General features: G+C 44.7%; 1 protein-coding gene across 3 annotated transcripts in view; it reads left to right on the forward strand.

Moving 5' to 3' along the window:
- The window catches only part of PAPPA (pappalysin 1), a 248,531-nt gene that overhangs the window by 213,821 nt on the left and 22,187 nt on the right, over positions 1 to 12,523 (forward strand). For all 3 annotated transcript variants that reach the window (NM_002581.5, XM_017014784.3, XM_006717129.4), the window contains 2 exons: positions 34 to 143; positions 9,965 to 10,036. In NM_002581.5, coding sequence (NP_002572.2) covers positions 34 to 143; positions 9,965 to 10,036 — 182 coding nt within the window. The remainder of the gene's footprint in view (positions 1 to 33; positions 144 to 9,964; positions 10,037 to 12,523) is intronic.

The raw sequence follows: 12,523 nt of genomic DNA on the forward strand, positions 1-12,523 counted from the left end.
CCTGAGCTGCGCCTCATGCTGTACTTCCCTCAGGGTCGGAGTGTGCCACCTCGTGCCTGGACCACAACAGCGAGTCCATCATCCTGCCAATGAACGTGACCGTGCGTGACATCCCCCACTGGCTGAACCCCACACGGGTAGAGGTGAGTGACCAGGGACATCTACCCACCTGCAGCTAAGGGGGAGGGAAATGATATTGTTGAGCACTTGCTATGTCCCGGTTCTGAGTTCATTCTTTCACACATATTACCTCATTTAATCATCACACCTGCCCTGTGGGTGTGTGTTGCAGGGAGGTGGGGTAGAGTCGGGAGGAGACTTATTCACAATCATTTCTCTAGTCCTTAATTATTTAATACTTTCTCTCTGTCAGGTCCTATGTGAAGGGCCTTTTATTTACTGTCCACTAAATGCTGATGTCAGCCTAGGAATAAACTGAGGCACCAATAACAGAGGTAGGGAGCATAGAGCCAGGTTTCAGACCTGAGTCTGTCTGGCTGGAAAGTCCATACTCATAAGGATGGTGTTGTATGGCTTCTCTGGTGCCCTCCCATGTAGCCTTCCACTTTACATAGCCTAGGTTTCTGGTATCCTTCTCCAAGCTTTACCTGTTTTGGGGAAAGCAATTAATAGGTGTCTAGCAAACTAGTAACATCGGTTGTTTGTGGAGAACCTGCCACGTTCATGTGTCCGGTGCTTAGCACGAAGACTCCATTTTAGCCTCAGCACAGTTGTATGAGAGAAGGGTCATTGTCTGCATTTTCCAGTTGTGGACACTGAAATCTCGGAAGTGAGGTGATGGGCCCTGAACCAAGGCTTGAACCCAAACCTGAGTCTGAGCCCTGTGTGCTTCCCACAGTGCCAGGCCGGTGTGCCCCCAGCCAGATGACTACAGAGGCCCCCTCCTCAGGGCAGTGTCAGTTTGACTTCAAGGTTGGCTGTTCCCACTCGCCTTTGTGTCACCCAATCAACTGGGGCCCCCAGAGCTGATGTGGGCCCTGCTTTTCTCCCCCAGGACATCGCAGGTCCCAGGCCTTATGTGTCACTCTGGGCACTGGCTCTTCACCCTGGAGAAACCGAAAGAAGGAGGCCGGGGTTGCGGGGTGGGCGAGGTTCAGCTCTGTGTCTCTCCAACCAGCCTACTGCCTGGGGTGCTGAGAGGCCATGGAGCCCAGGGAGCTACTGTCTGCCTGCCTGCTGCAGATCACACTCTGGATAGCTGGGCAGAACCTGATACTGGGTGTACTGTTTCTCAAATGCGCTGAGGGCACGATTGCCAGGGCTTACTCAGCACTCCGAGTGTATAGACCTGGCCAGACCTCCTCCACTCCTCTGTGCGCCCCGGCATGCTCCTCCACTCCTTTCTGCTTCCTCTTTCTCTTTTGCTGTCTCTTTTTCTGTCTTCATCTTACTCTCACTAATTTTTTTCCTATCTCTGTTTTTCCACTCTGTTTCTCTCTCCTCCCTCTTCTGATATACCTTTCCTCTTGTTCTGTCTTCCTCTCTCCCACACTCTCCTTTCCATCATCCACTGTTTCTCTCTCTCTCTCTCTGCCTCTGACTCTCTGCATATCTACAAGACAGCCCTATTTCCCAAACCTCAAGCTCTTTCATCTGTTTCCTCCACCATTCCTGAACCAGAATTCCTGCACAGATTCCCCCGAGTGCCCCAGTGCACCCTGATATGCTCATATACCCAGGCATGCAGGGAGCCCACATGTCAGAATCTCAAGGCAGCTAGAGATAATCAAGGACAGGTTCCTCATTGTACAGATAGGGAAACTGAGGCCTATAGAGGAAGGCGGCTGGTCCACACAGGCAGCACAACTGGAACGACAAGCTGGACTTGTGATTGGCAGCTCTTCCAATACTACCAGCTCTCCTTCCTTTTCCCACCCGAACTCCCACATACCCGAAAGCAGGTGAGTTTGACTCACACACAAAACAGACACAGGAGACCTCCCTCTCACCCCAGTATCAGAGATCTTCTTGGCCTGGACCAGCCTCCCACTTAAGACCTTTTTCCTACCCCCTGGGCAAATTCCCACCCTTCCCTCTGTGGGCCCTGGGCACTAAAGAGTTCAGTTATGATTCACTGTGAAATAAATCCAGGGATTTGAAAGCCTGCAAGCTGCCCCCCCTCCCCACCATTGCCCACCCGCTGCCTGCCTGCCCCATCCCCCAACCCAGTTCCCTGGTCTGCCTGCCTTTATTGATGCTGGCCTACCGAGAGAACCATAATGAGGTTCAGACCTCCACTGGTCTCTGGAGGCCTCATTATCCAGGAGGAAAAAAATGTGGTAGAAAAAGGGAGGAGGGCGAAGGGCAGAGATTGATGATTTCCAGGAATAAGGCAGAAAAGCTGGCCTCTGCTGCACCCTTGCCCCTTGTGCGGTGAGAGCTACAGAAATAGAGCTGCTGGTGCCAGCATTTCCAGGCCAGAGGAGGCCCTGGATAGCTCCTCTGCTTTCTGAGGGTCTGCCTGCGAGCACCAGTGCAATTTAGATAGCTGGGGGTGAGGCTCTGCTCCAGCTGCTGCCACTTTTATCCCCGGGGTAAGAGAGTGAGAGGCAAGAACTGGCATTTATTGGGCACTTGCTGTGATCAGGCACTGGGTCAGGCACTTCCTATCCTTTATTTCCACCTCCACCCCCTACCACACACGTACGACCACACACATATGTCCCTATCAGGTGGGTATTAGTCTCTTCCTGCTTCCAGTGGAAGTAATGGAATCTCAGAGGTGGAAGCCACTTGCCTAAGAGAAGGTGAAGAGAGACCCAGGCCAGTCTGATAGTTTACTTCAGCTATCCCTGCAGCCTCTATGAAATGTAGAGTAATAAAGGCAATACATTTAGTGATGGCTTACCAGGGATGTGCTGGCAAATAGTTAACAACTGGCTCTCCACAAACATTAGACTCTGCTTTGTAGCATTTCCCAATTTCTGTGATATAAATATTCCTACCGTGGCAGATTTCAAGGTTTCCAGGTTGCTGTCACTGAGCACAAAGTTGGGAAGATCCAGGCACTGCTGGCTCTTGCGAGCCTATGCAAGCCAGCTGTGGTCCACCACCGACACTTAGCCAAGACAGACTCTATTTTAAGTCCTTTGCATATATTGACATGAATGAAGAGAAAGATGACTGCTTAGATGAGTGGAATGTCAACACTGAGATCACAGGTCATGATGTGGACACCAGGACAGTGAGCTTTGTGAAGGCAGGACCACGGTCATATTAGTTACCATAGTACCTCCCTTGGTGCCTAGCACACAGCAGGTACTTGCTAAATATTTATGATTGCTGAGTCAGATGACCCAGGTTCTAGTGTAAGCTCTGGTGCCTTCCTGCTGTATGTCCTGGAGCAAATCCTGTCACTTCTCTAGGCCACAGTTTACCCAGTTGTGAAGTGAGAGCTAGGCTTCACTCAGGAGTCACAAACTGAAATGCCACCTGAACCAGGCAGGTGGAGAAATGAGTGAAGCAGGCCAAACATACTCTTTTGTATATTAAATACTGAGGCAGCCGGGCGCGGTGGCTCACGCCTGTAATCCCAGCACATTGTGAGGCCAAGGCAGGTGAATCACCTGAGGTCAGGAGTTCGAGACCAGCCTGGCCAACATGGTGAAACCCCGTCTCTACTAAAAATACAAAAATTAGGCGAGCATGGTGGCGCACACCTGTAATCCCAGCTACTCGGGAAGCTGAGACAGGAGAATCGCTTGAACCCAGGAGGCGGAGGTTGCAGTGAGCTGAGATTGTGCCACTGCATTCCAGCCTAGGCAACAGAGTGAGACTCTGTCTCGAATAATAATAATGATAATTAAAAATAAACACTGAGGCATATTAGTAGTAGTAGTATTTACTGTAAATATTTTGGAAAGAAAGACTTGCAGAAAAATATAACACCCATACACATACTACCCAACTTAATAAATAAAAACTTTACAGATACTGTTGAAGTTCTTTTCTACTTTTCTTTTTTTCAATTTTTTATTTTTATTTTTTTTTAGTGGAGATGAGGTCTCACTGTGTTGCCCAGGCTGGTTTTGAACTCCTGTCCTCAAGTGATCCTTCTGCCTCAGCCTCCTTCTTTTTTATTGAGCTATAACTTACTTCTTTAAGTGTAAGGCATTATAAATTGTTTTGGGTACACTCATGAAACCACTACTCATATTAGGATGTGGACCTGTCCAAATCTTCAGGGAGTCCTCCCTCCCCAGGCCAGGCAATTTCTCCAGCACCAAGGTAACCACTGTTTTGTTCTCTATTGCTATGGATTGGTTTTGCTTATTTGTAAATTTATTTGTAGACTTGGTCCCTATCACTACGAATTGGTTTTGCTTATTTGTAAACTTCATATAATTAGAAATCATGAGGCATTTTCATAAGTGTGTTTTCAACTTCTATAAAGAGAAACACAATGTACCTTCTTTTTTGTGTCCTAAACCTTCTTTTTCTCAGTCCCCTTCCCTGTACATGCACTTTTCAAAGTGATTAGAGGTACAGAGAACTCTTCCTCTAATCTAATAAACAAAATGATACAAACTCAATAATAGGTGGAAATGCCCCTCAGGTTCAATGCTAGAGAGAAACTGCAGGGAATGGTGGGGACTATGGCAAACTATGGAAAACACAGTTGTTGTTTTTCTGCTTCCAAAGGGGGACAGCATTAGCCAAGTGCAGCAATGTGGAAATGTGGGCCTCCTGTGGCCAAATTTTTCATTTTTTCTTGGGTACAAGAAATCTGGAGTTCTTAAAATTTGAAATCTCTTTCTTTTTTTAAAAAGTTTGGCAACTAATTTTGACTTTTTTTAAACACTTGTATGCCAAACAAAACATTTCTGTGGTTTGTGTAGCCTAGAAGCTGTTGGCTTGCAACCTTTGGATGAGATAGACTATTCCAGTCTGGAGACCTAGAATTCTGGGGTGGCAGCCTGTCTCCCATCAGTTCCTAAGAAATAGATCCAATTTGCTCACACATTGTCCCTTGCCCAGGGATGCTGAGAGTGTTTCACAATAGAAAGTGCATCTCCCTATCCTCAGAACCTTATAATGCCTTTAGGTGCTGAGACCTTGGCTTTTATAATAGCTTCTGAAAAAAAAATGGGAGGCGGAAAGAGAGGGAGGGAATGACTTAAGGAAAGAAGAGGTAAATTGCCATTTATTGACTATCTCTAATATGTAGACATGGTTTGCTAGGCAATTCTATATATGCCATTTCATTTTGTCTCCATCACTCCCCAGTGAGGTAAGGATTATCACGTTACAGATGAAGAAGCTGAGGCTCAAAGAGGTTGTCATTGCCCAATTCACATAACGACTGTGGCAGAATTAGCTAGCTAATTCCACTGCATTCCATCCTGCAAGGGCAACCCTCATACATGTCTTTTAAAAATATGCAACACATGCAGACAGAGAATGCAAAATTCAGTTGTGAAAAGAAGGTAGTTTTGTGGAAAGCCCTGCCGAGTGTCTAAAGGTCAGAGGTCGAATGGTTCTGAGTGACTGTTAAGTCCAGTCTAACTGACCTAGAGATGGAGAACTAAGTGCACTGGAGGGGAAGCCCATAGACAAAGAGATGCAGCCAGAATCTACTGATTTTTTTCATTCATTTATGGACACGCTCATACATTCGTTCATTTGATTGTCCATTTGTTCATTTACTTATTCAATAAACATCGACTATGCACCTCCAAGCAGATACTCTTCAAACACTAGGAATACGAAGTGGGAAATGCCTAGGCTTTTAAAAAGCTTACCCTGGAAAGAAGCCAGAAACTCAGTGGCTGATAACAAAAAGCAAATAATTAATAATAATAATAATAATAACTGATATGATTCACTCATAGCAGGTCCCAGAAATCAAGGAAAAAAGCTAAGGGAAAAAGGGCTTATCTTAGAAGACATCCAGGAGGGGTGTCAGATCTGAGCCTCTGGATGAGGGGGCTCTCTTAGATGCTTTCTCACATGTCTTTGGCTCTGCTTGGGGCCTGTCTTCTTGGGCCTTCATCTTTTAGATGCTCTACCCACTCCAACATTTGTCTCAAAGGGCCTCTCCACCTTTCTGAACTTTGGTCTTCCCATCGGTCAAAAAAGTAAGCTATTTTATACTTACAGCTTCAGGGGATGGTATACTTTGAAGGAGATTATGGCGTTCAAAGCCTAGACCTTAAAACCAGATAAATGTGGGTTTAATTGCTGACTGTCACTACCTATGTGTACGATTTGGGGCAGGTCATTTAACTTCTCTGTGCCCCAGTTTTCTCTTGTGTAAACCAGAGTCAAAAATAGTACCTATCTCATAGTTACGGTGAGAATTAAATGAGATGAAAGCTCTGAGCCCAGGGCTTAGAGCATAATATTTATTAAATAGAGAATTTTGTGCCGATGAGGATGAGGATACTGATGGTGATGATGATATTGACGTTGGTGGAGGTGGTGATGTTAGTGATGGTGTTTTCATGCTGGTGATGATGGTGGTGGTAGTGGTGGTGCTATGATGATGATGATAAAAAGAAGATGGTGCAGATGATGGTGGTAGTGTTGGTGGTGGTGTTGATGATGATGATGGTGGTGATGATGATGGTGGTGCCAATGGTGCTGATGATGATGACAGTGATGATGATGGTAATTGCAACCAGGAAGAAAAGATAGTCTATTCTTCCTACCACCAAGGCAGGAAATGAAAGCCTTCTTACAAAACCTGATCTGAAAAAGCTCTGGCTGGGCTAGATGTCTCACTGGTATCAAGAGGAAAAAGGCTGACATCTGAGGGGCCCCATCTGAGATCTCCCAACTTCTCCTGTAAACAGCCTAGCCAATCCTTCAGCTCCCACTGCCTGTCCCCTTTCCCAGTTCTAGCACACAGAGGGGTCCTGTAGTGAGACAGGTGGGGCGTGCAGCCCTGAGTAATAGTGGAAAATCCAAAAGCCTTGGAAAGATAAATAGGCTTATGCAGATAGTATAAAAGTCCTTTTTCCAAACTCACGTCAGGTAAACCTCAACTGACAGAAACTTGTACAACCACACCAAGACACTCCTACAGATGGATTAAATTAGCTCTCAAATAAACAGGGGAAGGCATGGGCATCGAATCCCTAGTGGATTCTAACTCTGCTGTTTTCCACTTCTTGAACCTTTACCAAATGCCCTCCAACATCTCTGGATTTTGACTGGGAACAGACTCTCATACTGAGAGAGGAAAATCTGGTTAAGAGAATGAAAGCAGGTGATCCTCTTCACCCAGCCCCATGGCTGGGAGGCAGAGGGGGAAGAACGTAGCTTAATTGAAAGAAAGGAATACTGAAACAACCCAAATTCCCTCATTTGTATTTGTATCACATTCCTTCATGTATTTCTTCACTGTGCTCCACGCTTCACCCTGGAAGGATACAGAAGTGTCTATAACTCAGGATCTGCCCTCAAGAAACTTAAGAAATTGGTACTAGGTTTACCATTTTCACAGCATTTATATGAATGCACCATCTCAACAAGTCTATGATGTTTTCAGTACCTATCTTGTGGATGAGAGAACCAAATCTCATAGTGGAAATGTACAAAGCAATTCCAAATCAGAATTGCAACCACATCTGTCCCATATCATATCCCATGACTTTTCCCATATACCACTTTATGCGTGTACTGGGGATGGGTAGACAATTTCAATAGAAGCAGTAAGATGCAAGACAGTAGATTTCACATTGCAAGACTGATTGGAAGATCATCAAGTTAAGCTCTTTCTCCAAGGTCTTTGATTTACTTGAAGGTTGATAGTGGCTACATTCAGCCTATACTAAACTGATCCTCTAAACTAGACTTGTTTAGAGGACAAGTCTAGTGCTTGACCTTAGATGATCTTCTGATGCTCTAGAAGACAGGAAGACAAGTAAAGAAATTATTGTCCACTGGTAAAATCATCTCTATTTTGAGAAGAATCTGTTCCTTTATAAAATAAATATTTATTTAGCATCCCCTCTGTCAGGCATTCCTGAAGGCATGGCATATCTAATGTGAACCTGAGATTTTATGGAGCAGAGAAGAAAGGCACCCAATCCAGTCTTGGGGTCACCTGATTCCCTCTGTCACAGCCTCACCAAGAGGCCTAATTACAATTTGGCTACCATATAGGTCTGCCCTCAGGGAGAGAATAGGCTGTTTACATGGATTTTCCACATTTTGGCCCAGGTGACTCTTCATTTTTTAATTAAAATTAATCAACTGGCCTCTCAGTCAGTTGAACAACCTCTGATCATGTGGACTTCCATAGTTGGTTGTTCACAGTTACCTGTCACTACACATCTAAGCATGTACCATTTTATTTTATTTCATTTTATTCTTTAAAGAAATAATTGTAATCTGGCATGAAAACTGGGGCATCCATGGAGAATAGAAAAGGGAACTTCCAGGATTTTTTTTTTTTTTTTTTGAGACGGAGTCTCGCTCTGTCGCCAGGCTAGAGTGCAGTGGTATGATGTCAGCTCACTGCAACATCTGCCTCCCGGGTTCAAGCGATTCTCCTCCCTCAGCCTCCCAAGTAGCTGGGACTACAGGCATATGCCACCACACCCAGCTAATTTTTGTATTTTTAGTAGAGACGGGGTTTCACCATGTTGGCCAGGATAGTCTCGATCTTTTGACCTCATGATCCACCTGCCTCGGCCTCCCAAAGTGCTGAGATTACAGGCGTGAGCCACCACGCCTGGCCAAGCTTCTAGAATTTTTATGGTAACTGTATTCCTAATACTATGTTATCTTTCTAGTCTTATTTAGCTTTCTTATTTCACCCACTTTTTAAAATATCATCATGTTGGATTTTATGTTATGAGCTTTATTAAATCATTTCTGAAACAACTGGTTATTTTCAAATCCTGGTTTCTCCACCAAACAGCTATGGAGCATGGGGAATTTACTCTCTTATGACACAAGATTAATGCCCACCTCACATCATCATGGCAAGAAATAAATAAGATAATGCATACAGTAATTAGCACAATGAATATACTCAATATATTTTAGTTGTCATTATCTTCATCATAATTATTATTTTTAAAGAGGAGGCTATAAATAAGTGCCTATAAGCTCTGCCTAACGGGGCTAGGAAAAGTGCCAAAGAAGACATAAATTTTGAGCAGACATTTAAAAGATTCTCAAAGTGACAAAATGGGGAAGGGCATTCAGGGAAGGGGAAGAGCAAGAACGAATTCACTGTGGGCAACCTCAGAGAACTGTGGGCAGACCAGTATGACACGGCAGCAGGTGACAGCAGAGGGGTTCTCTGCCTTTCCAGGGATTTGAACCATAGGTTGGTTCATAATAGCCCATGTGCTCTCAGACTGTAGTGTGCATTGGAATCATCTGCAAGGCTTGCTAAAATGCAGAGTCTCAGGGCCTGGTCTCAGAGAGTCCAATTCATTAAATCCAAAGCAGGTCTGAGGAATCTGCCGTTAATTAAACACACTCCCACGGCAATGCTGATGAAAGTGGTCTTCAGCTCATGCTTTGAGAAATGCTGCTCCACAGTTTTCTCCCATCCGCCTGCTGCAGTCACACACATGTATGCACACATACACACACACACATGCAAACACACACATGCGCACACACACACACACCCCTCCTCCCCCCACCTTATCCCAACTCCACGAATGGGTCGAATATTAGTCGAGAATTTTCTGAAAGGCCTTTCTGATCGTGTCTCTACCCTCCAGTTCTGCTTCTCCTCAACCCTTGTTCCTGCCAGGGAAATACAGAACCATGACACATGCGGTGAACACAAATATTATTTTAATCTTGTGGCTCCTGTTATTGCAAGTACCCGGGCAAGTTCTCCATGTAAAAGCCAGGGTGAGGTCAGGAATTGGAAGGTCCCAGAAGAGGTGAGGTGGTTAAATGTAATGCCAACACGGAGGTGGGTCCCTCCCAATCCCAAGCCCATCTGACCTTTCTCTCCCTCTTCCCACAGAGAGTTGTCTGCACTGCTGGTCTCAAGTGGTATCCTCACCCTGCTCTGATTCACTGTGTCAAAGGCTGTGAGGTGAGTCACAAGGAAGGCACTCCTCAGTTCCCTGGAAATAATCCTGCTGTTGTTATTGTTATTGTTATATTAATGTTGGCTATCCTTTGCCATACCTACTGAGTGTTGAAAATATCCATTTAGCAGACTTCTTGGACAGGGATTAGCAGCCTTATTTTACAGATGATGGAATTGAGGCACAGAGATATAAAGAAACATACTAAAAAGCATAGGGAATGGGTAACAGAGTTGGGTTCCAAGCCAGGCTTTTGTGGCTCCAGAGCCTGTGGTCTACAAAATATGGGATCTGTAAGAAAGGAAGGGCAGGGGGCTATAATGATTTACCATCTAGAATATGCTAATGTTGGAAATTTACCAACATTGTTACATTTAACCTTTACAGAGTCAGGTGAGGTGGTTTTATTTTTAATTTCCATTTTACTGATGACCTTTACTTGCAGACCTATTCCTTCTGCCCCACATCTTAGTCATTTACTCATGCCTCAATCCCAGAAGGAATATGAATGCCTTAGACCTAACCATTGAGCTGAAGTGAAAGAGCCTTTATAACCCTTAAATTCTATGACTTCACAGTTGAGCCATTCCTTACAGCTTGGAATTATAGAGATCTGTCTCTGTGTGTCAGTGACAAGCTTGGGAGGACTCAAGGAGCATGGTTCTTGGGAGATCAGCTGTGTCCTGAAGGGAGGGCTGTCCACGGAACTCAAAGACATTTCTGCACATCACTCTGCCCCTTGTGGCTCTTCCCAGCTGGCAGTGAAAAAGCGGCCCCAAATCCCTTCCAGGTGGATGGCCAAATCTCTGTGGTTCATCCAGAGCCCACTGAGGCAAACGCAGGTGAAAAGGATCAGACCATGCCCTAGAAAAAGTCGTATCTGATGAAACTCTTAGAATGCCAGAACCAGAAAGACTCTTTTACCTAATCTCAACTAATCTTTTATTTTTAAAATGGGTAAACAGAGACCCAGGCAGTGGCTGGATCTAAAATTTGATGGAATGCCAAAACTGGGAAGGCTCTTAATTTGATCTAGCTCTATTTTCTTGGTGTATAGAGTAGAAAACGAGGGCCAGAGAGGGGATGGAATGTCCAAGTTTGCACAGCATGATAACCACAAAGACAAAACGTAAGCCCAGCTCTTCTAACGTCCAGGCTGGTGCTTTTCTCCTGCTGCCTGCCTATGATCCATTCCCTGATCTGTGTCACAAGACAATCCCTAGGTTACACATTTTTTTCTCTGCATTGTTGAGGGATTTCCTGAGGGCACTTGACATTGTACTTGACTTTAGGAACCCCATTCTCTCAGGCTTCAATTAGGAATGGCAAAATCAAAGCCAAGGCCCTGTGGCTGTTGCTTACTTCTGTCTTTTTGGATCAATCCAGCATTTTGGGAAAAGAAAGCTTGAGTTACCTGGGCACTCATTCTGCTGAGTTGGCGGTCTGGGCAACCAGTGTGACAGCGGAATTCAATCCCTCCTTGGACTCAGCAGTGAGACCCAAGAGACCCTCACCTGTCAGACTCTGAGCCCTGCCAGTGATGTTTATCACCTTTGCCCTTGCAGGTGCCCCTCATCTCCTGTCCTCTTTAGCTTTGTTCTAATAGTGCCTTGTCTGGAGCTGAAAATTATGCTTAGAAGACATACAAACTCTGGGACTATCAACCTTGAATATCCAGAGGTATCCAAGATAAAGAAAGGGTTTGGGGACCCCTGAGCCCCTGTTTTCTGCACCATGCTGGGTCCAAAGTGATCATTCACTCACTTGTTCACCAAAGCTTCACTGAGAACCTCTTATATGCCAGATACTGTTCCAGTTCTGGGAATACATTGGTGTTAGTCCAGTGAAAATAGTAACTATGCTCTCCTTGAGTCATCTATGATATCTTCTTGCCTGTCATCCATCCATCCATCCATCCATCCATCCATCCATCCATCCATCGTTTTACTAAATAAACATTTATGGAATCTATATTTGATAAAGTTTTGCACAAATACGAGACATTTTGCTAGCAATCTAGGATACAGAAATGGATGATGCGCACAGTATAGTGAAGGAGATAGACAATTAAAGAGAGAATTTTAAAATCCTGAAGAGCTATCACAAAATCAAATACAAGAGGCTATGGCAGCAGACAGCATCCTGAGGCTATTAGGGGTGGCATTTTGGAGAGGTAACATTTGAGCTAGATCTTGAAGGATGGTTTGTTTGTCTGAATGCGTTACTAGTAGAAGGAGCAACATGAGATAAACCAGAGACAGGAGAAATCTCTAAGTACCAGAGCTTTTCTCATATTGTTCCCTGTCTCTAGAAATTCTCTCTTCTCCACCCCCACCTAATTAACTCCTACTCATCTTTATGATCTCAGCTGAAGCGTCATTTCTTCAGGGACTTCACTGAGCTCCCTGTCTAGATCAAATCTTTCTACTTTTTAATAGCATCACAAACCTCTTCTCCATAGCTCTTATCAGAGTTGAAATTGGTTAATTAGA

This window comes from Homo sapiens, chromosome 9, assembly GCF_000001405.40.
Source record: "Homo sapiens chromosome 9, GRCh38.p14 Primary Assembly".
Taxonomy (NCBI): domain Eukaryota; kingdom Metazoa; phylum Chordata; class Mammalia; order Primates; family Hominidae; genus Homo; species Homo sapiens.